This window comes from Homo sapiens, chromosome 16, assembly GCF_000001405.40.
Source record: "Homo sapiens chromosome 16, GRCh38.p14 Primary Assembly".
Taxonomy (NCBI): domain Eukaryota; kingdom Metazoa; phylum Chordata; class Mammalia; order Primates; family Hominidae; genus Homo; species Homo sapiens.
In genome coordinates, this window is record NC_000016.10 from 17846295 (window position 1) to 17872785 (window position 26491).

Genomic DNA, 26491 nt, shown 5'->3' on the forward strand with positions numbered 1-26491 from the left:
TGCTAATTTAAACCCATTTTCCAAGGTGCCCACAGCCTCCACAGGGAATCACCACCACTCTCTGGAGAAGACGCTTAATCACCCTGCTATACATGGAGCTCTATTTTTTTTTTTTTTGTTTTTGAGATAGAGTCTTGCTCTGTCACCCAGGCTGGAGTGCAGTGGCGCGATCTCAGATCACTGCAACCTCCATCTCCCGGGTTCAAGCGATTCTCCTACCTCAGACTCCTGAGTAGCTGGGACCAAAGGTGTGCACCACCATGCCTGGCTAATTTTTGTATTTTCAGTAAAGACAGAGTTTCACCATGTTGGCCAGGATGGTCTCAAACTCCTGACCTCGGGTGATCCACCCACCTTGGCCTCTCAAAGTGCTGGGATTACAGGCGAGAGCTACCACACCTGGCTCATGGAGCTCTATTTATCAAGGATTTTTCCTTGTGATACAAAATAAAATTGGTCTTCGTATCCCCACTGCCAAACACTGGGAATGGGTACAGAGGAAGTAAGTTCCTGACCTAGCAAATATTTCTTCATTCCCTTGTCCTTTTATCCACTGTAGCACAAAATAGCTTCCTTGGCCACCCGTGTGAGTCAACTCTTGTCCTAGGACCAGGTATGTGTATGAACTAAGGTCAGATCTGGATGGGCAAAAACCATCCCAGCCTCCTTCCCTCCTGCCCAGTGACCTTTCTCCAGCCTTTTCTGGCAGGCTCCGTCAATTGTTGATTCATCTCCTGTCATCTTCTCCATGCAACTTAGCAAAATATTCATTCATTCAGTGAATATTTATTATATGCCTTCATCTTAGGTTGGATTTCTCCAAGCAGTGGCTGAGAGGGTGATGTGGGGGCAGGTGATCTATCAAGAAACAGTGGGCCAGGCACGGTGGCCCATGCCTGTAATCCCAACACTTTGGGAGGCCAAGGTGAGCAGATCACTGAGGTCAGAAGCTCCAGACAAGCCTGGCCAACATGATGAAACCCTGTTTCTAATAAAAATACAAAAATTAGCTGGCATAGTGGCACATGCCGGTAATCTCAGCTACTCGAGAGGCTGAGGCAGGAGAATTGCTTGCACCTGAGAGGCAGAGGCTGCAGTAAGCCGAGATTGGAATTGACCCTTGCACCTGAAATTGATCGCTTGCAGCTGAAACGCAGAGGATGCAGTGAGCCAACATTGAAATTGACCCTCTCATTCTTAAAGCTTGAAACTTATGTTTGTCTTATCTGACTTCCTTTGTTAGGAAACAACCTTCAGGCCCTCAGGATAATATCAAGAGACCGCAACTGGGAGGCCAAGGCAGGAGGATTGTTTGAGGCCAGAAGTTTGAGGACAGCCCTGGTAACATGGTAAGACCCCTATCCCTACCAAAAAATAAAAAAAAATTAGAAAATTAGCTGGGCTTGATGGTGCACACCTATAGTCCCAGCCACTCAAGAGGATAAGGCAAGGATCTCTTGAGCCTAGGAGTTTGAGGGTGCAGTAAGCTATGATTACATCACTGCACTCCAGCCTGGGTGACAAAGTGAGACCCTGCTTCGAAGAACCTGGAATTCCACTTCTTTACCCCTTCCTAAGTTCTGTTTTCCTGCGTGTAGCTGCATTCCTTCCCAGCTATATAAACCCCCAATTTTAGTCAGATGGGGAGACAGATTTGAGACTTATCTCCCATCTCCTCAGCTGCACACCTGAATAAGGCCTTTTTTCTTGGCAATACTTGCTGTCTGAGTGACTGGCTTTCTGTGCAGCGAGCCGTGCGACCTACACCTAACCCTTGGCATTTCAGTAACAAAAGCTCTTCAAGAAAAACCTCTCAAGGAAGGACAGTGGAATAAGGCGAAGGAAAGACCAGAGAGCAAGAACATGGTCCAGGTAGAGTCTAGCCTTCGCCAGATCCCCATGGGCAGGTCTCTAGCACAGGGGTTGACAGGTTTTTTTCTGTAAAGGGATAAATAATAACTAATTGAGCATTTGCAGTCATATGATCTCTGCCACAACCACTCAACTCTGCCACTGCAGTGCTAAAGCAGCCACAGATGATACATAAGTGAGTGAGCATGGCCATGAGGCTAAGGAACTTGTCTGTCTCGCCCATCAATGTGCCCCATGTCTGGAACACGGTAGGCAGGAATAAATGATGTTACTGCACATCCAGGCCCCTCTACTGGGCTGCTGCATCCATGATCCAGCTGCCATAAATGTTGGCTGATATGGCTTGGAGATGCCCTTCTGATACAGAAAATTGCCCACAGCTGACAGAAACCACCTTGCAAAAAAGACTACGCTCCACCCTCCAACCTTCCCAGAAGCAGCCCACAGCCAATGGCTGATGGATATATAAGGGCACAAGAGACCAACCCTCCTGCTTCATGGAGGGACACTTCAGTAGTATGATACCTTCTCTAAAGTTGAGGTCAGCAAATTATGGACTGTAGGCCAAATAGGACCCACTGGCCATTCAACTCTGAATTCGCTCTACTGAGCACAGACCCTGGAAGAGAGCAGTCAGAGAGTAAATGTTTATCGAATACAATGGAATAAAATTGAACCTTGAAAGACGGGTCCAATTTGGGCAGGGTGGGGAGAGAAAAGCATTCTTTCAGGTCCTCGAACATGTTATACACGCTGTTCCATCTGCCACCAGCACTAGCCTACCTCCCCCACACCACTTTGCCTAGCCAACCAGCATTGTCTCTCATCTTTCAAGTCTCAAGTTAGATAGATCTGCCCCCAGCATGAGTCCATTGCTCCCCATCTGTTCTCCTACAGTACCTTTGCTTGCTACTCATGGAATAATTCTCCCATCGTGTATGAGGTCCTTAAGTTAATTTCTCTGTCTCCCGCACTAGAATGTTGGCTTCTTGGAGTCAGAGACCTCACCTGTCTCAGACTCTTCCATGGTCTTAGCATCTCACACAGTGCCTGGCACGTGGTAAGCCTTCAATATAATATTTCAGCAATTCCACTACTGAGTATATAGCCAAGAGAAATAAAATCAGTATGTTGAACAGATATCTGTACCCCCATGTTCACTGAAACGTTATTCACAGTAACCAAAATATATAATTAACCTAAGTGTCCCCTAAAGGATGAATGAATAAAGACAGCATGGTAGATACACAAAATGAAATACTATTCGCCTTAAAAAGAAGGAAATGTTGTCATTTATGACATGGATGTACTTAGAGGAAATTATGTTAAATGAAATAACCCAAGTGCAGAAAGACAGATATCTCACGATCCCACTTATATGTGGAATCTAAAAAAGTTGACCTTGTAGAAGCAGAGGGTAGGAGACTGTTTACCAGGAGCTGTGAAGGGGGTGGTATGGGATTGGGGAAATGTTGGTTAAAGATATAAAATTTCAGTTAGACAGGATGAATACATTCAGGAGATCTACTGTGCAGCAAGGTGACTATATTTAATGACAATGTACTGAATACTTGAAAATTGCTAAGAGAGTTGATTTTAAGTGTTATCACCGTAAAAAATATATGAGGTGATACATTTAATTAGCTTGATTTAGCCATTCCTCAATGTATTCATATATATAAACATCCTGTTGTATACCATAAATATATACACTTTTTATTTGTCAACTAAAAACAGAAATTATTTTGACTCTAGATTTCTTTTCATCCAAGTTTTATTACAAAATTTTCCAAACGTGCAAAAAAGTTGAAAGGTTTAGTACAGTGAACACCACTTAGATTCAATAACTGTTCATATCTTACAGCCTATATATTTTAAATAATAGCCATCATTCTTGGGCATTTACTGTATGTCAAGCACCTGCTAGGTGATTTGCAAATATCATTTTTAAAATCCTGAAAAATAGCATAGAAGATAAGCACTATTATTCTCCCCCATTTTGCTGCTGAGTAAACTGAGACTTAGAGAAGTTACATCACTAAAATCAAACAGGTACTAAGTGTTAGATTTAAACCGGATCTGGAGTACTGTAGCTGAATTCCGGACTACTGCGTTATAGCACAGTGTGTAACCCCACAACGATATGATGTGCTAGGGGATCCTAGAATTGTGGGGCTGGGTTATTTCTGAAGAGTCTGAGGCAGCTCCTGCGGGGAGATGACTCCAGAGAGCAACTGAAAGGGAGATGGAGCTGAGACAAGAAATCCACTGCTGAAGTTTGGTGGCCGATCATCAAAGAGATTAACTCCAACAGCATCTACCCCAACCCCTTTCTTCCTTGCCATACATCTCTGACACTACCATTATTAGTGACTGGGCTCAGAAGCTTGCCACCTTGTATGATCTGAATTGATCCAGTAAAGAATTCTCTGAAAAGCACCATTAAGATGATTTATAGTCTAATTTTGGTTGCTATAGATTCCAAGTCAGACTTATGACTCGGAAGAGAGGGGGGAAAAATCCCCGCCTCGCTTAGAATTCAGGCAAAGGTTTCAGTATTGATAGAGAAGCATGACTGGCTGGGGGAAAAAAAAAGTCATATTTTTTTAAAGTTTACAGCTACCACTCCTGGTTTGGGGTTGCTATAGCAACGAAGGGCCTTGGAGGGGGGCACAGTGTCTGCGGATCTCACTCTACGGAGAGCTGATTGATAGGTCGCCTGAATACTGTTTAGACACTTCTGTGCTAGGAACCAGATAACATTAGTTTATTAAAATACACGTTAAAACACCAGTCATCTCTCTTGCCCCAGCATTTTATTTTAATCATTGTTGTTAAGGAATTGTTAACAGGCTACTGATAGGAATGGAAGGCAAATCCCGTTAGGGAGCTAAACGCCATCTTGCTGGGGCTCGCATGCACAGGCCGGGCGGCAGGCCCATGCAGGGTGCATAATTACGATAATTTGGCATGACTGATTGTCTCCCTCTCCCCCCAGCCCAACCCACCCTGGCTTTCCAGGGAGTTAGAGGCATGGCTAATCCTCGTAAAGACTTCTGTTCCTGGCTGTGGAGGGGCTCCGGCTGGGACTGTGCCTAGCTAAGGTCTCCAAATTTCTGTCTTCTCTGTCACTGTGTGACAGCCTGCATGAGTGGCAGTTTGTGCCCCAAGAAGAGTGTCATCAGGGCCAATGTATATGGCCTGTCCAATGTATCACTGCTTGGGAGATGTGGTCAAGACAAGCTGGGCATGAACCCTGGTCCTGCTACTTGCTAGATTTGTGACTGAGGAAACCTCTTAAGCCTCTGTTTACCCACCTGGAAATGGGGGTGCTGATATTACTTCCATTTTTTTGGAGCATAAATAAGACATTCCCTTTAGCCTTCTACCTGGAAGAGCTCATTCCTCACAAACCTGATAAGACAGATACTTCAACTCCATTTTGCAGATGAGGAAATTGAGGGTTAGGGAAGCTCGAGAGCTTGAGGAGCTGCCTAACTCCTACAGTTTGGGGAAGATTCAAGGATGCATGTAAACTGCTTAGCACACTACTTAGTACAGGGTTGGTACTCCATCAAAGTTCTTAGGTACATACTATTGACGTTAGTATCATTATCAGTGGTAGAAGGTGAAACGGCTACTCTCATCATCCAAAGCTCCTGCTGGTAACACATGTCTAAGAGCATGAATAATCTTCAAGCACTTGGTGGGCTCTTGTCACTTTTCATGATTGCATTAATCCTCACACCAACCCCATGAGATGAGGAGCATCGTTAATGCAGTTCTACAGGTTAAGACCTTGAGGTTCTCAGAGACAAAAATCACTAGCTTGGGGCCCCCCAGCTGGTAGCAGGCATCACTGGGATTTGAACCCATGTCTTCATCATTCCAAACCCTGTTTGTACCCTTATGTTCTACTGTCAGTGTACCTATATAAAGCCACAGACTGTGCATTCACGTAGGTCTCCTATTGTCTTTTATTCAACCCACATGTGATGTGTGAATTTTCTCTGTGTTAATACTGAGCAAGACATTCTCCAGGCTTGGCTTGAATACCTTAAGAGAGTTCACTGTAAAATGGAGGCCAACTTCATAGTTAGAAAGTTCTCCCCAGCCGGGTGTGGTGGCTCACGCCTGTAATCCCAGCACTTTGGGAGGCTGAGGGCAGCAGATAACCTGAGGTCAGAAGTTTGAGACCAGTCTGGCCAACATGGTGAAACCTCCATCTCTACTAAAAATACAAAAATTAGCTGGGCAAGCTGGGCATGGTGGCACATGCCTGTAATCCCAGCTACTCAGGAGGCTGAGGCAGGAGAATTGCTTGAACCTGTGAGGCAGACATTGTAGTGAGCCAAGATTATGCCACTGCACTCCAGCCTGGGTGATAAAGTGACTCCATCTCCAAAAAAAAAAAAAAAAAAAAAAAGATCTTTCTTATGCTAAGCCCGAAGCCCAGCCTGCCCACACTAGTTCAAATCTCCAGAGCCACAGAGATACAGTATCTTTTCAAGTGCTAGCCCATTGCATATGGGAGAATCATCATCAGGCCCACCTTTTATAAGTTCCCTTTTGGTTCATCTCTTCATTCTTCCATTCACCTATCCGCTGTTATCTAGTCATCCTACAAACATTTATTGAGCTTCTACTGTATGCCAGATACTCATCAGGAACAGGGCTGTAGTGCTGAAGGGCACAGGCACAGTTCTGCCTCCAGGTTGTTCACATTTTAGTTGGGGAGAAAGGTACTCAAAACTATTTTTTAATTCATTTGATTATAACTCTTAAGAATTATAAAGGGGAACAATAGGATTCTAAAGAAGAAATGTAAGGTTCTATGGGAGCCCATCACCAGGACAAGTAGGAATTGATTTGGCAAGGAAGAATGTTGGAAGGCAACTCAGTCAAGATATACCAGAGGGAAAAGCATTCCAGGGAAAGTGAGCAGCATGTGCAAAGGTCCTGTGGTAAGAAAGAACTCAGCATGTTTGAGGAACTAAAGAGCAGTGTGTCTGTGGAGAGTGAGTGTGAGAGAGAGGGAGATTCCACTGGAGAATGATGAGGTCAGAAAACTCCATTCCTTGCCTCTCACTTTGCTTCTCGAACACAGACAGGAGAGTAGGAACTGGATCCTGGATGGAGCCTGAAGGTTGGAAAAGAAGTCAGGCTCTCTCATATTTCACCTGGACCTCAATCTCTGAATATGTTTGTGACAGAATATGTTTGTGCCATTGTCACCTTATTAAGCTGACAACTATGTTTCCCAGAAACTCCCTCCCTGTAGGGTTTCAGCAGAAAACTGTCCCACAGAGGAACTTGTGGGGAATTTTAAAAGCAGAAGTGAAGCTCAGCCATAGCCCTCAGAACGCCATTGTGTCTGACTGGTAGAATGGTGGCAGGTGTTCCCAGGAGGCTCTGGCTGGTCCTCACCCTGCTGCATGCCGTGTTTCTAGCTTGCCTTCCTAAACCCTGGCCCTGCGAACCAAGGAAGCTCCAGGCCACCACCAGATGCTTGGCTGCAGACTCGCAGAAGCGCAGCCACACGCTCTGGATGGTTCTCTGCAGAAATATCCGCGAGCTCCCCTTTCTGGTCTCACTTCGGCTGGATGTGCTTAGACTCTCCTATTTCCCACTTGGGCCAGTGCTTCAGGCAGGTGGGCTAGTGACTTTTTCCGAAGCTCCAGCTCCCCCTCCAGACCCCCACTTCCCAGCTCCTTGCACAGGTAGATGCGGTCTAATTCCTGTAACAAATCCTTGCTCTCATAATAATCATTATGGCTTTGTTTCCCTGACTGAAGCTTGACCAACATGCTGGATAACATCATCAATGGGAGAGGAAAAGAGAGGAGGGGAGGGAAGAAGACGGGAGAGGGAAAAGGAAGGGAAAGGAAGGAAGGGAAGGAGATGGAAGATGAGGGAGGGAGGGGGGAACTTCCTATTGAACTTTGAACTATTTTTTTTTAAATTTTAGATTCAGGGGGTACATGTGCTTGTTTGTAACATGGGTATTACATGCATACTGGTGAGGGCAGGGCCTTCTAGCGCACCCATCACTCAAATATTAGGCACGGTACCCAATAGGTAATTTTTCAACGCTCACTCCCTCCTACCCTCTCCCTTTTTAAAGTTCCTCCCTAGAGTCTGTTTTCTCCATCTTTATGTTCATGTATGCCCTTCGTTTAGTAGCCAATTGTGAGTGACAACATGTGATATTCGATTTTCTGCTTCTGTGTTAGTTTACTTAGGATAATGTCCCACAGCTCCATCCATCTTGCTGCAAAGGACGTGATTTCATTATTTTTTATGGCTGTATAGTATTCCATGATGTATGTATGTATGTATGTATGTATGTACAATATATATATCACTTTTTTATTTGAGACAGGGTCTCACTCTATCACCAGGGTGGAGTGCAGTGGCGCAGTCTTGGCTCACTGAAAACTCCACCTCTCGGGTTCAAGCCATTCTCCTGCCTCAGCCTCCCGAGTAGCTGGGACTACAGGCACGTGCCACCATGCCCAGCTAATTTTTGTATTTTTAGTAGAGATGGGGTTTCACCATGTTGGCCAGGCCGGTCTCAATCCCTTGACCTAGTGATCCGCCCGCCTTGGCCTCCCAAAGTGCTGGGATTACAGGTGTGAGCCACCACACCCGGCCTATATATCACTTTTTTAATACAATCAACTATTGGTGGACACTTACGTTGGCTCCATGACATCGCTATTGTAAATAGCGCTGCAATAAACATATAAGTGTAGGTGTCTCTTTATATAATGCTTTATTTTCCTTTGGGTAAACAGTAGTGAGGTTTCTGGGTTAAATGGTATGAACTTTCAACTGGTCTACTGAGGTTATCTTCAATTTTCAATTGTCTTGAGGGACACAAGACAGTTTGTCTTGGGAGCAAGTCACCCTTGCTGGCGGATGGCCTTCATTTGATAATTGAGGTAAACAAGTTTCCACAATGAGAGGTGAGATGAGAACAGAATTCCAGTTCTTCTTGTTCTTACTTCTGCATTTTCATTCCACACAAGTCCACCCTGTTGGGACAGCCCATTCCATGGCTCTACCCCATCATTCAAGGATCAAGACCTAGTATGGTACCTGGGTTCAACTACCGGCTCTGCTACTTTCTCAGTGTGAACCTTGGTCAAGTTACCTCACCTCTTATTTCCTCCTATGAAAACAGAAATCATAATCATGGTACCTGGAAATGTTCAATGATACTGTAGATAGAAAGTTCTCAGCATGGCTGGGTGTGGTGGCTCATGCCTGTAATCCCAGCACTTTGGGAGGCCAAGGTGGGTGGATCACTTGAGGCCAGCAGTTCAAGACCAGCCTGGCCAACATGGTGAAACCCCATCTCTACTAAAAATACAAAAATAAGCTGGGCATGGTAGCACATGCCTATAATCTTAGCTACTCAGAAGGCTGAGGCAGGAGAATTGCTTGAACCCAGGAGGCAGAGGTTGCAGTGAGCCAAGTTCACACCATTGCACACCAGCCTGGGTGCAACACAGCAAGACTCTGTCTCAAAAAAAAAAAAAAAAAAAGAAAAGAAAAGAAAAGGAAAGACAATTCTCAGCACAGTGCTTGGCATTTAGTAAGTGTTAGTGTTATTCTTATTGTTGTTACAGTAAGTCCAAATTTCTCTACCTGGCTTTTTATCTCTGAGTCAAGTAAAATATGCAAATGTTAGTCATGGATTTTTTTTTTTTTTTTGAGATGGAGTTTCACTCTTGTTGCCCAAGTTGGAGTACAATGGCATGATCTCGGCTTACTGCAACTTCTGCCTCCCAGGTTCAAGCAATTCTTCTGCCTCGGCTTCCTGAATAGCTGGGATTACAGGTGCCCAACACCATGGCTGGCTAATTTTTGTATTTTTAATAGAAACGGGGTTTCACTATGTTAGCCAGGCTGGTCTCGAACTCCTGACCTCAGGTGATCTGCCCACCTTGGCCTCCAAAAGTGTTGGGATTACAGTCGTGAGCCACCGCACCCAGCCTAATCATGGTTTTGTCCAACGTTTCCCCAGAGCAGCATGTCCTGGCTGCTTTCTATGAGTGCTTCACTGCTCTTTTACTTGCATCTTTTTCCTGGATCCTTAAACTGCCAGTGAGGTAGGCACGGCCAGTGCTCTTGTTTGGCTATCCCAAAAGCCATTCTCAACCTGTTTTCCTCTACTTACCTCCTACTATGGAGAGAATAAAGTCAGGCTAGATAGCTGCAGATAGATAGATTCTCCCTGCAGCTCAGAGTCAACATGAGACCCAGCTTTGTTCCATGAAATAAAAGGGGAGAAATTCCTAAAGAAGAGTGTTTGGGAAGGCGTTAGTTAGTTTCCTGATAAAAAGGACAAGTTGTGTTAGCACTTCCCATACTCCTCCTTTCTGCCTTGGAATGTGATTGCAATGGCTGGTTCTGTGGCAGCCATCTTTCACACATAAGGATGAGGAGTTAACAGCTGGGCATGGGAGACCGCATGTACAAAAAGAGCCTGAGTTCTTGATAACACCACTGAATTACTCAACAAACCCTGAGATGCATATGTGTCCTTATGTTTTACACCATTTTTCAACATGTCTTTTACTTGCATATGAAAGCATTCTTAACTGATACCAGAGGTCTTACTATGCCTATTTACATATGGTGGTGGAGAGGCTCAAAAGGTTGGGCAAATTGCAAAAGTTCTCACAGCTTTAAAATAGCAGGTTTGAATTCAGTGCCAGATTCTGCCAGTTTCAAAACCCAATCTCTTTACCAAGACCAATGTTCTGTACTCAATGAACGTAAGTTTCTCTACTTTACCTTCTCTTCTCCATATATTTAAATTCCATTCTGATTTTAGTTCAAGTTCTGGACCCGCCATGAATCTTTCCTTGATTAATCCAGTACACAGGGAGCTCCTGCTTCGTTGATCCCTGTTTCTCCATGAAGGCACCACCCTACCGTCTGACACTTAATGGTTTTCCAGCATTTCAAATGCATTGTACTTTTGACACCACTCCACCGAACCCCCATTATATCACATGTTTCTTAAGGTCAGAGAAGCAAACTCCTATAGGGTAATAGATCAGAGGATTTGGAGACTGGTTCAACTCCCGGTTCTTCCTCTTGCCTGTTGTGTGTCTTTGGGGAAAAGTCAGTTCATCTACTATGGTCTCAGTCTGATCTATGAAATGAAGGTCATAGCTGCTGCGACGTATTCAGGTGAAACCCATTTGTAAAGCAATTAGCAGAGTACCTGACTTGGAATAGATATTCAAAAATGATAGCAACCACTGTTATTACATGTTATATTTCTTGTATACAGTCTTAGTGTGTGGCAGAGTGACAACAAATAGTATGAGTTCGATAGGCAACTGTTAACAGAATGGTCCATTGACTATTTCATTAAGACCTTACTGAGATGTCATTCTATTCCAGACAATGTGCTAAGTATTTGACTTTAATGATTTTTTTAAAGTCAAATAAAATACCCTTGTCTTTGACGCATGAACAGATAACTGTAATACAATGTGACAAATTCAATAATAAAGAAATTCATAGGGTTTTATGGGGACACAGGGGAAGGGTACTTCTCAAATCCAGGAGGACTTCCAGGAGGAGGTCCCAAGTTGAATCCTAAAGAAGAGAAGAATCTGGATGATGAGTCCTTTTCCAGTCCCCAGAACTCTGTTATCCTTGCCAGGAGTAAGTTACAGAAACAGCAGACGAAGAAGTGGCATTTGTGCATCTGTGAGTAGGGACACAGATTCATGTATATGATAATTGCTTTTGCATCTTAGGACTTCTATCTAGAGGCTGGATTAGTTAGAAACAAGCTTCCTTTTCAACTTTGCTTTCATTTCAGCTTTTCCTCCTGCGTGGTAAACATAAAACCCATTCTGTAAGGGCTCTCCTATTTCCTTTTAGGCACGAAGCATATTCTTAGAAGCAGCCTGCCGGGAAACAAAGGTTAATTCTGCAGGGAATGAATTGCTAAAGCTGCGTTCTTATTTGAAGTTTTGATTTATGGAAGCAACCGTGGGTTTTTCTTTGCTTTGCAAAATTCTTTAATGTCTCCATTTCAGGCAGATCCGTCGGCGTCACTCCACGCGTGGGCCAAAGTCACTGGCAAGATTTTATTTGACTCTGCTATTCTTAAAAGGCAGGAGACAGGCTTTGTCAGGACTCACAGGACCTCTAGCAAGGGATGCTCAGTTGGAAGGCTTCCGTCCCACTAGCCCAGCCATGTACAGGGGGCTGTAAAGTCAGTAGGCAAGAACAAGGCTAACAGGAGTACTTAAATAAGAGTTCCTGCGGCTGGTGCATTTATGAAATATCAGAAGGTCACAGAAGTCAGCCTCAATTGGTTACTGTGCTATTGAAGTGCTGTTGTGTTCCAGCTGTGAGCCTCTGACTGGCTCTAGCTGGTCTGTAAGGGAATCAAGGTTGGTCTCAAAGGCCTTCCAAGGTTTTTTATTGTTGTTGTTCCTATATAAGATATTGCTGTATAACATGGATTGTTTGGTAGGTCTAAGAGGGTATTATGGTCTCCTCTTATTCAATTACGGTATCATATTGATTCATTCACTATGTGCCAGGGGTGATCCCAAATAGCACTAGACAAGCAGGGCTGCAACATATATTTCTGAAGTTCTTGTACGACATGCCGAAGAAAAGCGAGGGGTTGAAATCCACTCGTCAAAGCTATGAACCCATGCAACCGGCATCTACCAAGAAGATGTGACTTTTTCTAACCCACCTTTTTGGAGAGGGTGTTTTTTTCTAATTCACGCAGAGGTGCACAGGAATCTAGTTTAGGCTAGCCTCTACCCTGTCTACAAGATAATCGTAGTTCTTGCACTCATGAAGCTTTTATTCTAGAAGAGAATGAGGAACAAGCCACAGGTAAAGAGGCAAACTTAAAATATTGAAGATGACTTCATATTAAGTGCAAAAAAATAAATTATTAGTGTGGTGTTAGCACAGTGATGGCGGAAGGATGTTACCTTAAATAGTCAATGAAGACATCCTTAATTATTAGCCTATGAGCTCAGACTGAAGGTACAAAAGACCAAGCTAGTGAAAAGCTAAAGGTCCAAGAGTATTCAAAGAGTCCAACAGTCTAACTACAGGAAGTTGAATGTAGATTTCCCAGGACATTTATTTGAGAGAAGGGGAGCTTCCCAGTAATAGCAATCGCACTGCATTTCCCTCTAGCTTCTGACATTGTTTTTGTGCTCAGAATCAATCGATTCCTTGCTATTCTTGGTGGGCAGAAAGTCTTTGCAAAACTTGACCTTTCCCAAGTGTTATCAATACAGCTAATAGTGATGCTGTCAGAAATGTCCAACAATCATCACACATCAAGGGGCTTTCTGAGTTCAGCGCTCTTGGTTCAGAGTTTCTGCTGTCCTTGGAATGTGTCAATGTTTGTTGAAGATTATTTCTTTACTGAAGTTCAATTATGGTGTCATATTGATTCATTTTATGTCTTATATTTTTACATGTTTATGTGTCTGTTTTCACCAATAGGCTGTGGGTTCCCAAGGGGCAGGGGTTCTGTGTCATTTCATTTTGTGCCCCCCCACAATAAAACAGTGTAGAGTTCAAACAGTTAGTCAAGGCAGTCAATACTTTCATGTCCTATGATGGTCACATAGTCACATGGGGTGTTATTTCAATACTTTGCTTAACTGATTGGCAGACTGATAGATGACTAGGAATTTCAAAGTCGCCATCCTAGGGTGATGACCTTCACCTACATATTATAAACAACTTGAGAATGAGTCCACGCATTTTTCCCCTACTTGGGTAGTTTGTATATGTGCTGCCCTAACCTGTCTTCTTAAAGGGCCCCCCAAAAATTGACTCTGATAAATCAGTGAATAATGTAATATTTACTGAAGATTCCATGGGGTAAATATGAGTTTACATTGTGCACCAAAGTTAACAACCTAAAATCTCTTTGATATTTCTTTTAAGGAAAGCCTTCTCTTCCGTACTGTCTAGAGACTGTGTTTTTCTCTCCCTAATGTCCTAAACAGCCCCCCAACTTCACTGACATCTCTTTTTCCTGACTACATGGAGCCTTTTTTTGTTCCCAAATCATTTGTCAGAGCTTATCTTCTAAACAACCATTGCACTCTGTTCAAGTGGAGTTTGCATAACAGCTTCTTAGAGAATAGTCCCCATGTTGATTGGCCTATAGACCCCAAAGTGTTTTGAGCATAATAGATGTTCAATTAACAGCTAACTGAATCAACTATAGCCCAGTGCCATTATGATATACTGTGCTATAAAACAAAAAGGGAGAGAGATTCTAATCTTTCTCAGATTCCTCAAGATCTGCTTCATACTTCTGTTGTAAGGGGAGGTATTGCTGAGCCCTGTCATGCTGAGCCCTGTCATCAGCCAAAAGGCAAACAGAGTTTCTTTAGTCCTAGTCTTGCCAGAATGGGGGTCACTCCGGAATGTTAACCGGTTAATAATTCTAAAGGTGCACAACTGTATGTACGTGGGATAAACCACTTCCTACTCAGCCACTTTATGGTTTAGGAACTTGTCTAGTGCCAAAAAGCTAATGCCATTGGGACCCCAGTTAGTGACTCTCCCTCAATTCCTTCTTCCTTACATGGTTTTTAAAATATTGACCTTGCTGGAGTTTGAGGCCAGCCTGGCCAACATGGTGAAACCCCATCTCTACTAAAACTACAAAAATCAGCTGGGCGTGGTGGTGCGAGCCTGTAATCCCAGCTACTCTGGAGGCCGAGGTAGGAGTATCACTTGAACCTGGGAAGAGGAAGTCGCAGTGAGTTGAGATTGTGCCACTGCACTCCAGCCTGGGCGAAAGAGTAAAACTCCGTCTCAAAAATAAAATAAAATAAAATAAATAATAAAAATTAAAAAAATAAAAAAACCTTGCCAAAAGGCTACAGTACCTGTGTTATGACACTTCTCCCAGGCCTCAGATGATTGATCCAGAGTGGTGCGTGACTCTAGTTAAGAGTCAATCACATTCTCTTTCTCTCTGTCGGATATCTGGAATTGAGGCATGGAGACAGAATTAGGTGCTGAACTGGAAGGTTCTGTAGACCTCTGTATCAGCAGATGATGGAGCAGAGTTGGACTAAAGAGAAAGGACATGACATGGGCAGAGACATAGTAAGAGTTCCTGATGATTTTACAGTTCCCATGATGTCTCCCACATTTGCATTTGTTTCAATGAAATTCCCCCTGAATCTTTTTTTTTTTTTTTTTTTTTTTTGAGACAGAGTCTCACTGTGTCACCCAGGCTGAAGTGCAATGGCACGATCTCGGTTCACCTCAACCTCTGCCTCCTGGGTTCAAGTGATTCTCCTGCCTCAGCCTCCCGAGTAGCTGGGATTACAGGCATGCATCACCATGACCGGCTAATTTTGTATTTTTAGTAGAGACAGGGTTTCTCACGTTGGTCAGGCTGGTCTCGAACTCCTGATCTCAGGTGATCCACCTGCCTCGGCCTCTCAAAGTGCTGGGATTATAGGTGTGAGCCACTGCACCTGGCCCCCTCTGAATCTTTATAACTGCTTCACTTTTCATTTGTCCTCCTTTGCATGTGTCTCTGGCACATAAACCAAACTATCCTGAACTAACCACACCTTGTCACCAAAACAGAGGCAACCAACCCTCCCATGCACCTTGCACCAGGGGCACCTCTTAACACATTGAATTGGAATTCATGATTTACAGATTTCTCTCTTACCAGGCTGTGAGCAAATTGAAGTCAAGGTCTATGATTTTGTCCCTATATCCCTACTATCTAACTCAGCACCAGGGACATAGTAAATGCCTAATAAATGTTTGTTGAATCAAATTAAAAACAATGTCATCTGCAGAATAAAATTAGGTTCCTATCGATTTGTTCTAAGCCCTATTTACCGCAGGAGACCAGGATTCTACAATTAGCTTACAGCCATGCATTTACATCTTGCACCAATCACAAGCCACTTTGGGGACTCTTTTCTAAAAATAATCCCATTCCTTTAATTATATCACTGCCTCTGGCAGAACCAGATTGCCCTCTGTGGGGGCTTTTGAATGCAAATGTATGTGTAAGCCTGCGTGTGCAATACTGAACGTCGGTACTAGAGCCATTTTCATTATTCAATAAGCCCTTGACCCACCTCTTCAGACTAATGGAATTACACTATTAGTTGTGCTGTCTACTCCTTTCTTTTGTTTTCTTCTGATTACAAGGGTAATGCAATTAGAGATAATTCTACAATGATGTCACAGGTAGCCTTGGTGTCCACCTCCCCGCCACTGAGAATCAAAATCCATTTACCTACAATATCGTAATCTTGCTCTGCCCCAATTGGTCTTCAGCATCCTTTTAGCCAACGCTGGTAGGAAGTTCTACAGGAAATATAGCGAAGCCTGCCAGGGTTGCCTCTTCTGCCATTATAAAATGTTACTTGCGGCAAAAGCAAGGGATTATTTTTCTTATATGCTGTGTAGTTCACCAAAATGGTGCTGATGGTATTTAAAAAACAAAAACAAAAAAACATGAAGGCAGGGCATGGTATCTTACGCCTGTAATCCCAGCACTTTGGGAGGCCATGGTGGGAGGACTGCTTGAGACCAGCCTGCATGATATAGCAACACTCTGTCTCTAGAAAAGAAAAACAAATTGATAGGGTTAATAAATAACAAAAATCCATATTCTAAAACAATAAAGAAACAGTTATGCAAAAGTATGATTTAAAAAGCTTTGACTAGAACTGAATTAACTCTGTAAATAATTAGAAGCAATACTGAAAGGTGATCATTTATGTCCACTTACCGTCAATTTTGCCTGGGTATTTCAAAATGAGCTAATAAAAAAATAGTAAAGCATGTTTTACACTGTAGTTCTTCTTTGTCGTTCTCTCCAAAACCTTAATCTTTATACATTGTAAGATCAAATATCTAAAACACTACATGTATATTATTTTTACAAAAATACATAGAAGTTTGATTCTATCTTAAATTGGATAATTCAGAATTAGATACCGTACCTACTATGCCATTTGATCTACATGTACCTTTTCCTAGAATGGTAGTTCTCAAACCCCTATTCGTGTTAGAATATCCAGTGAAGCTTTTTAAGTGTTTGCCCTACTCAATTCAATTAAATGTGAATCTCTAGGTATGAGATTCTAATGGCATTTCTTAAAGTTTCTCAGATGATTCCAATACACAACCCAGACAGAGAGCCACTGTCCTCAGAAATGTTTGGGAGTGCATGGCTGGGTGCAGTGACTCAGGCCAGGTGTGGCTGCTCACGCCTGTAATCCCAGCACTTTAAGAGGCCGAGGCAGGTGGATCACTTGAGGTCAGGAGTTTGAGACCAGCCTGGCCAACATGGTGAAACATCATCTCTACTAAAAATACAACAACAACAAAAAAAATTAGCGGGGCATGGTGGCAGGCACCTGTAATCCCAGCTACTCAGGAGGCTGAGGCAGGAGAATCGCTTGAACCCAGGAGGCGGAGGGTGCAATGAGCCCAGATCGTGCCATGGCACTCCAGCCTGGGTGACAGAGTGAGACTCCATCTCAAAAATAAATAAATAAATAATTAAATAAAAATAAAAATAAACATTTGGGAGTGCAAATCACCTGTCTGTCTTAAATAGCAAACTTCTCACTTTCCAAAACATACCTCAAACCACTGGATTCAGACAAGCAGAACATAGGCATAATAATGAGGACCAGGTTTGGGGAAAGGGCTGTGTAGTATAGATGGGTAAGCATCTCTGTGGAAGTAATTTGGGTCGTATCTATAGAAGTTAGATACCTCAGCCAGCACATCTTCTATTGCAAATTTGCAGAGCACACTTCCAATCAGCCAATGTTAATTTGGTTAATTTGGTTGGGGGTCAGAATACAGAGTACAGCCTTCCTATGGGGAAGCCTCATTAGTCATCATTAGGAGTATCCATTCTGCCTGGTTGTCTTAGAGTCTTTGCCTTTCTTATTACAAAGTATTAGATAGAACATGAGAGGATGCCAACAGCCCTGCAGATTGAACAAGCAAGATGTCTTAGAGGTGTGGATAGCACTTTACACTCTCCCAATATAAAACATTTAAATTAAATATTAAATCATTATTATTCAGTTGGTCAACAGTTATGATATGGTCACTATAAAGAAAAATAAGTACAGTCCAACCAGAGTAAAGGAAATGTATCCTCAGAACTCTGAATTTTCAGGTTTGGGAGGTATTGGGAGGTACTTTAGAAGTCAAGCAATCCAACTTCTACATTTTATGTATGGAAATTCTGAGGCCAAAAGAGGACTGCAACTGGGGTTTCTAATTCTCGACTGCCAATCTTTCTTCCTAATCCTGGAAGTCTGTTTTCTTGATCTTATCAGCAGTTGACTTTTTAAAGGCACTGCCTCCTCATCCCATAGAATGGATTACTATTATAGCATTGCAGGATGAACATGGTGGCAGGGGAGTACGTGGTTTCCATGGTTAAACTGGGGTATAACCAGGACAGGAACACTGGCCTCCTCCCTGCAAGTCTAGAATGACCACACGACTGTGGGCCCCAGACAAACCGACCATATTCTAATCTGAACCTCCAGCTCAGAAAGTGTTAAGTGTATCATCTTGGACAAGATAATTCACCTCCATGAATATCAGTTTTCTCATAAGTAAAACGGATGTAATTTTTTAAAAAAAATCTGTCTTGCAGGATAGTTGTATAGATACAGTGAGATCTTTAGAGGTCAGCAGACTTTTTCTGTAAAGGACCAGGTAGTAAATATTTTAGGCTCTGCAGGCTACATGAGGTCTCTGCTGCGTATTTTTTCTCTCTCTCTCTGTCTTACACACACACACTTTAAACATGTTTAAAAATAAAATAAACATTCTGAGCTTATGGACCATACAGAAGCAGGCATAGGTCACAGTTTTCCACAGCTGATCAAGACCACACGCTGCAAGCATGCAGCAACCAGGCATGTCTTTGTGTTGTTATTCAGCACCCAGCACCCACCACAGTATCAGATGCTTGGGTATTTACTCAACAAAACTCTGAATAAATAATATGTAAAGAGGCTGGGCGCGGTGGCTCATGCCTGTAATCCCAGTACTTTGGGAGGCCGAGACAGGTGGATCACCTAAGGTCAGAAGTTCAAGACCAGCCTGGCCAACATGGTGAAACCCTGTCTCTACTAAAAATACAAAAAAAAAAAAAAAATAGCTGGGTGTGGTGGCGGGCGCCTGTAATTCCCAGCTACTCAGGAGGCTGAGGCAGGAGAATCTCTTGAACCCGGGAGGCAGAGGTTCCAGTGAGCCGAGATCGTGCCACTGCACTCCAGCCTGGGTGACAAGAGTGAAATTCTGTCTCTAAATAAATAAATAAATAAATAAAATGTAAAGAGCCTGATCCAAAGTCTAAGATGGAAAAGGCACTGTGTGTTTATTTAGCATTGTTACTGCCCTTGTGGCTTATAAGCTCCAGAACTATGATTTAATATGAAAGACAGGATGAGTTCACTCATTAAAGTATTTGGAGGAAAAGGAGATGAGTAGAAGTGTTGCAGAGGAGGAGGCACTGGCCTGAGCTTGGAAGGATGGGTAAGTTTTTGGATAAATGGATAAATGAAGAAGGTACCAGTGTATTAAAAGGAAAATAAGGAGGTTATGCATCTGCCACTGTACCACGGTGTATATATGCTATCAGGACAAGGTTATGGCTTCACAAAGACCACCTCCTTATGTGATTTCTTGGAATGTGGAACTCAGTGGCTGCTGAAGTGAGATACAGGTAAATTCCCATAGGGAGAACTGACCTCTGATCATTTTGAGTTTCAATGAGAGTAGAATATCTCTGAGACAAATATAGACCTATTAACCAGTGAACATTAAAAGATACTGAAGGCCTCCCATGACTCACCTTGAAATAGAGAGGAAATGCGCCCAGCTATCTTGGTACAATGCCAATATCTCAACACTTACAGAAGCTGATTCTGCACACAAATTGTGCTTGAGCCTGGAAACTTCAGGGGACCCAGACACCTGAGCAGTATAGTCATATTCTGAGTTACTGACTTTGCATATGAATGTAAATTGAAGACCTTTAATTGAGAACCTGGACCTAGATGGCTGGGCAAAGTGGCTCACACCTGTAATTCCACTACTTTGGAAGGCCGTGGAAGGTGGATCACTTGAGCTTAGGAGTTCGACACTATCCTGGACAACATGGTGAAACTCCGTCTCTACACAAAATGCAAAAACTACCCAGGTGTGGTGGTACGTACCTGTAGTTCCATCTACTTGGGGGGCTGAGGTGGGAGGATTGTTTGAGCCTGGGAAGTGGAGGTTGCAGTGAGCTGAGATTGTGCCACTGCATTCCAGCCTGGGTGAGAGAGCAAGATCCTGTCTCAAAAAAATAAAAAATAAGAAAGAGAAACTGGGGCTAGGATAATAGCAATTGTGGTTGAGTATCGTTACGGATAAACACTTTCTCCTTCTTCCCTCTCCCGCTATATATTCCCTCCAACACACATGCTCAGAGGAGTTTTTGCCAGGCCAGCATTAAGGCTTAGGGTTGTGTTAATCTAATCACTAAAGGAAATGTGACTTAATTAATACCTCCAAGCTTGTGAATGGCAACATACCACTGTGTAAACATAATCACACTATTCCTTCCATCTTCATTAACAGATGAGAAAATAGTCTCAAAAGGTGAACCAGCTTGCTCAAGGTCACAAGCTAAGCAGGGGAGTAGGTCTTTCTGTCTTTTCACTAAACCCTGTGGCTTACCTAAAGAATGAATTATAAATGCCTAGCATCAGGTCATCTCTCAGAAATGGGTTTTGGAGGGCAGAAGACTTTCTCTGAGCAAGAATTTGAAAGACAGACAGGGGAGGCAGAAAGAGTGAAGATAAACATCAAAGTTGTTTTCCTTGGGTAGAGAAACACCAGATTCCATCAATCAAGTTAGCAGGGTTCTCTGGTCTTCTTTGAGTACTGGAGCTTGGATTATGATGACACCCAGCTGACTGTCAGGCCACTGTTGCAGTCAAAATTTACACAAAGATCGGGCCCAGGGTTGCAACGCAGGCTACACAAAGCTGCTGGTACGAGGAGTCAAGAAGAAACAGACATTGGCCAAGAAGACAAATCATGTGCCGCTTCCTCATTCGGAATAACTGGCCATGTCTAGTAAATGCAACCTCTAGATTCATCATGCCAGATGGGTTATTTCAAGTACAGATGCTAGTATTTGTTCTATTTCATTCAACTCTTTGAGATTGATCAATAAAAAGATGTATATGGTGCCTGTGTGTCTGGCATTAAAAGAGGAAAGAAATGACCTCAGTGAATAAGAACAGTACTTGGATTTCTTAGCGTGCCTAGGAAACCCCGAGTAAACTGGGCAGATTCAAGCATGTGATGAATTTCTGCTGTCTGATTTAATATTTAATATTTTAATATTTAATCCTAAAGTTGTGCATTCCACTTCTTTGGTTACAGAATATTAAGAAGTGAAGCTATTAAAAACACTAAGTGTTTTAGTTCAGGAAGAGAGCACAACCTTCCCTAAGTGACAGGTGATGCTGGGTGTCTTCGTTTATTTGTTTTTGAAAACGTGGGCTTTATTTCTTAAATATTTATTATTAATGCAACAATCAGGCTACCCAGGATTTATATAGAACCTTGTCTTCCAAGGAATACTCTGGTTGAATAACATCATCTGTCTTTATGAACTTCACCGTCAGGAAGAAGGCGAGACTAACTTTTGATTTCTTACAGATGGGAAAACAGAGACCCTGAGAGATCAAACAAGTTTTCCCAAGTTACAGAATAAATCTATTGAATTCCCTCACACTTAATGCTGCTCAAACCAGCTTGTGTTGTCTATGACAGGAAAATCTCTGCTACAGACTTTCAGAGAAATGTCCCTTCCACTTTTCATTTGATGACCACTCATAAACCTTGACTTACAAGAAGATATACGTGAAACGGAGACACAAACATTGCACTGCAAATGGCTCAAATATTCATTTGTGGAAGAAACACTTAAGTTCCTACTGTGTGCCTAGCTCTATCTAAGCACTAGAGCTGTGTTTTCACTTCTTATTGCTGCTGTAACAAATTACAACAAAGGTCAGAAGTCCTAAAATCAAGTTGTCAGCAGGGCTACCTTCCTTCTGCATGTCTTGGGCAGAATCCATATCCCTGCCTTTTCCAGGTTCTAATATATATATTATAATATATATTATATATATAGTATTATATATAGTATAATATATAGTATTATATATACTATATATAGTATAATATATAGTATTATATATACTATATATAGTATTATATATAGTATTATATATACTATATATAGTATAATATATAGTATTATATATACTATATATAGTATTATATATACTATATATAGTATAATATATAGTATTATATATACTATATATAGTATTATATATAGTATTATATATACTATATATAGTATTATATATAGTATAATATAATACTATATATAATATATAGTACATATTATATAACTATTATATAATATATATTATATATTTTATATATTATAACATATCATACATAATATATAATGTAATACACATATAATATATAACAATACATCACACGTAATATATAATGTAATACATTATATATGTATTACATTATATATATACCCCCAAAAAGTAAATTTTTAAAAAAATGTGCTTCCCTCAAAGCATTGATCAGAAGATTAAATGTATAATGTAATACATCCTATATTATATATGATATATATAATATATATGATATAATATATATCATGTATATGATTATATATTTTATATATATATATATAGTTGATTGATTAAGTTTTGAGACAGGGTCTTGAAATATTGCCCAGGCTGGAATACAGCATTGCTGTCAAGCCTCACTGCAGCCTCGACCTCCTCAGCTCAAGCCATCCTCCCACCTCAGCCTCCCTTGTAGCTGGGACCATAGGCATGCACTACTACATCCACCTAATTTTTCTTTCTTGGTAGAGACAGAGTATATCTAAGTTTCCCAGGCTGGTCTCGAACTCCTGGGCTCAAGCAATCCTCCCAGCTGAGCCTTCCAAAACACTGAGATCACAGGTCCCAGCCTTTCCAGCTTTTAGAGGCCATCTGCATTCTTTGACTCACGGAACCTTCCTCCATCTTTAAAGTGCATCGCTCCGACCTTTGTTTTCATCCTCTCATCTCCTTTTTCTGACTTTGACTCTCCTGCCTTCCTTTTATGAGGACCCTTGTGATTCTATCAGGCCCATCTGGATAATCCAGGATAATCTCCTCATCTCAAATCCTTAACCAAATCACATCTACAAAGTGGCTTTTGCCGTCAGGTAACATAGTCACAGGTTGAGTGGATTGGGATGTGAATATATCTGGGAGGAGAGACATTATTCAGCCTGGCACAGACTGTCAAGAGGTTTTCTAGCCCTTGCAGCAATCTTCATTTCGTGGGAAAGAGGTGCACAAACAATTGATGACAAACACCATGGTAAGTGACAAGCAGTGATGGGTAAAATGATGGGCCTCCATCCCAGGCTAATGGGGGTGAGGAAGACTTCCAGACAGAATGATGTCTAAAGCTAGTCTTCAAGGATGAATGAGGAATGCTCATGCAAGAGAGCAAGGTAGCATGTTGGAAGTTGGGTCGTCCAGGAAATGAGGACACAGCAGGCAAACAGCACACCAGAGGCCGAGGAGAGTCCAGTTGTACAGTTCATCTGCCTATAGTGTTTGCTTCGCATTGGTCAGCTTTGTTTTAGAGCTACCTTGGGTGGCAGACAGACAAAAAACTAGGCTGTATAGCAAAAAAATTAAGAGTAAGAGCAGGCCAGTCGCAGTGGCTCATGCCTGTAATCCCAACACTTTGGGAGGCCGAGTCAGGCAGATCACGAAGTCAGGAGTTCAAGACCAGCCTGACCAAAATGGTGAAACCCCGTCTCTACTAAAAATACAAAAATTAGCCAGGCCTGGTGGCAGGTGTCTGTAATCCCAGCTACTCAGGAGGCTGAGGCAGGAGAATCCCTTAAACCCAGGAGGCAGAGGTTGCAGTGAGCCGAGATCACACCATTGCTCTCCAGCCTGGGTGACAGAGCAAGACTCCATCTCAAAAAAAAAAACAAAACAACAATAAAAACAGTAAGAGCAGGAGGCTGGGCATGGTGGCTCATGCCTGTAATCCCACCACTTTAAAAGGCTAAGGCAGGTGGATCACTTGAGTTCAAGAGCTCTAGACCAGTCTGGGCAACATAGTGAGAACTCATCCCTACTAAAAAAAACATAAATAAATAAAAAATTAAAAGTTGCCCAGGCATGATTGTGCCATTGCCCTCCCACCTGGGTGACAGAGCGTGACCCTGTCTCAAAAGGAAAAAAAAGAGTAAGAGAAGGTAATGTGCCCTTCATTCAAGCCCTGATCCTTCTTAAAAGTTTGTTTAACTTCTCTGCTCCTCAGTTTTCTCATCTGTCAAATGGGAGTAATAAGAGTACTAATCTTAATTGTTCCAAACATAAAATAATTAATATAAAGTCCTTAGCACAATTTCTGGCACATAGTGGGTGTTCAATAAACGTTAGATTTTTCTCTTTTAGTTCCCTCCCTTTCAGCCTCTTTGGCACCAGGACACTGTCACACAGTATCTTAGTCTGTTCAGGCTGCTATAATAAAATACCACAGACTGGGTAATTTATAAACAATAGAAATGTATCACTCACAGTTCTGGAGGCTGAGAAGTCCAATATCAAGGTGCCAGCAGATCTGTTGTCTGGTGAGATCTCACTTTCTGCTTCAAAGATGACACCTTCTAGTTGTGTCCTCACATGAAAGAAGGGGAGAAAAAGCTCCCTCTGGCCTCTTTCACAAGGTCACTAATCCCATTTATGGAGGCTCTGTTCTCATAACCTAATCATCCCCCAAAGACTCTACCTCTTAATACTATTGCACTGGAGATGAGGTTTCAACATATGAATCTAGGGAGATGCAAACATTCTGACAACAGCACACAGTTCGTGTTTTCACCCATGCCGGGAAACTCCTACAGGAAGAGCAGGTGACTTTCCCTCGAGAGCCTAGTTCCCAGGGAGCCATCAACACATGTCCCATCACAGAGATGACAAGGACTTTTATAGGATGTGATGTGCTACGTTAAATACGGTTCAGACCAAACAAGACCATGCCGGGCACACCCATACCGTCAGGTCCTCTCGATTTTCCGTGGTTGGAATTTCACTTTTCTCTGTCTTAAAACAGCCAGATGGGCGGTTATTCTTGGGGATAAACAAATAGCTGTGATTTCTGTTTATGGGAGGAGCCCTAACTTTCTGGGTTTTTCCCCACAACACTGACAGTGTCAGGCAGATTAAAAGATGTGGGGCCTGGCGCGGTGGCTCACCCCTGTAATCCCAGCATTTTGGGAGGCCGAGGCGGGCGGATCACGAGGTCAGGAGATGGAGACCATCCTCGCTAACGCGGTGAAACCCCGTCTCTACTAAAAATACAAAAAATTAGCCGGGCGTAGTGGCAGGCGCCTGTAATTCCCGCTACTCGGGAGGCTGAGGCGGGAGAATGGCGTGAACCTGGGAGGCGGAGCTTGCAGTGAGCCGAGGTTGCACCACTGCACTCCGGCCTGGGCGACAGAGCAAGACTGTCTCCAAAAAACAAAAAAACAAACAAAAAAAAAAGATGTGGAGCTCGAGCCAGATCAGCTGCTAGGAACCACACCCCTTTAGTCAAGTGCTATAATCTCAGTTTACTCACCAACAAAATGAAAACTTTGAATGAGAAGATTTGTAAGAGCCCCTCCTAGATCTAAAATTATCTTCTTCTATGGCAAGTTTAGAGCATAAATAGACCCCAACTACAAGAAGTCAACCTGAACTGATGGGAAAAACAAAATTCTGGGGTCAGACAAATATGTGCTGAAATCCTTGTGAGATTCACCCACAGAGCTACTTAACTTCCCTGAGTCTTGGCCTCTATAAAATGAGGATAAAAGTTCTTGCCTCAAATGGATACTCCATTTACCCTGACATGATTATTACATATACTTTGTATGCCTGTATTAAAATATCCCATATATCCCATAAACATATACACGTACTGATATGGTTTGGCTGTGACCCCACCCAAATCTCATCTCGAATCGTAGCTCCCACAATTCCCGTATGTCATGGGAGGAACCTGGTGAGAGGTAATTGAATTATGGGGTGTGGTGGGGATTATCCCATACTGCTCCCGTGGCAGTGAATAAGTCTCACAAGATCTGACGGTTTTATAAGGGATTTCCCTTTTCACTTGGCCCTCATTCTCTTTTCCTGCCTCCACGTAAAGCCCTTTGTTCTTCCTTTGTCTTCCGCCACGATTGTGGGGCCTCCTCAGCCATGTGGAGCTGAGTCTATTAAACCTTTTTCCTTTATAAATTACCCTGTTTCTGGTATGTCTTTATCAGCAACGTGAAAACGAACTAATACACCTAAGATATACCCACAAAAAGTAAATTTTTTAAAAAATGTGCTTCCCTCAAAGTGTTGATCAGAAGATTAAATGAGATGTCATAGGTAATGGAAAGTCAGGCACAAAATCAGCA

General features: G+C 42.4%; 1 long non-coding RNA gene across 1 annotated transcript in view; it reads right to left on the reverse strand.

Moving 5' to 3' along the window:
- Positions 1 to 14795: 14795 nt before the first annotated feature.
- Positions 14796 to 26491, reverse strand: part of LOC107984893 (uncharacterized) — a 111412-nt gene continuing 99716 nt past the window's right edge. Inside the window, exon 4 of the long non-coding RNA XR_001752093.2 lies at positions 14796 to 14895. This is a non-coding gene — a long non-coding RNA (uncharacterized LOC107984893). The remainder of the gene's footprint in view (positions 14896 to 26491) is intronic.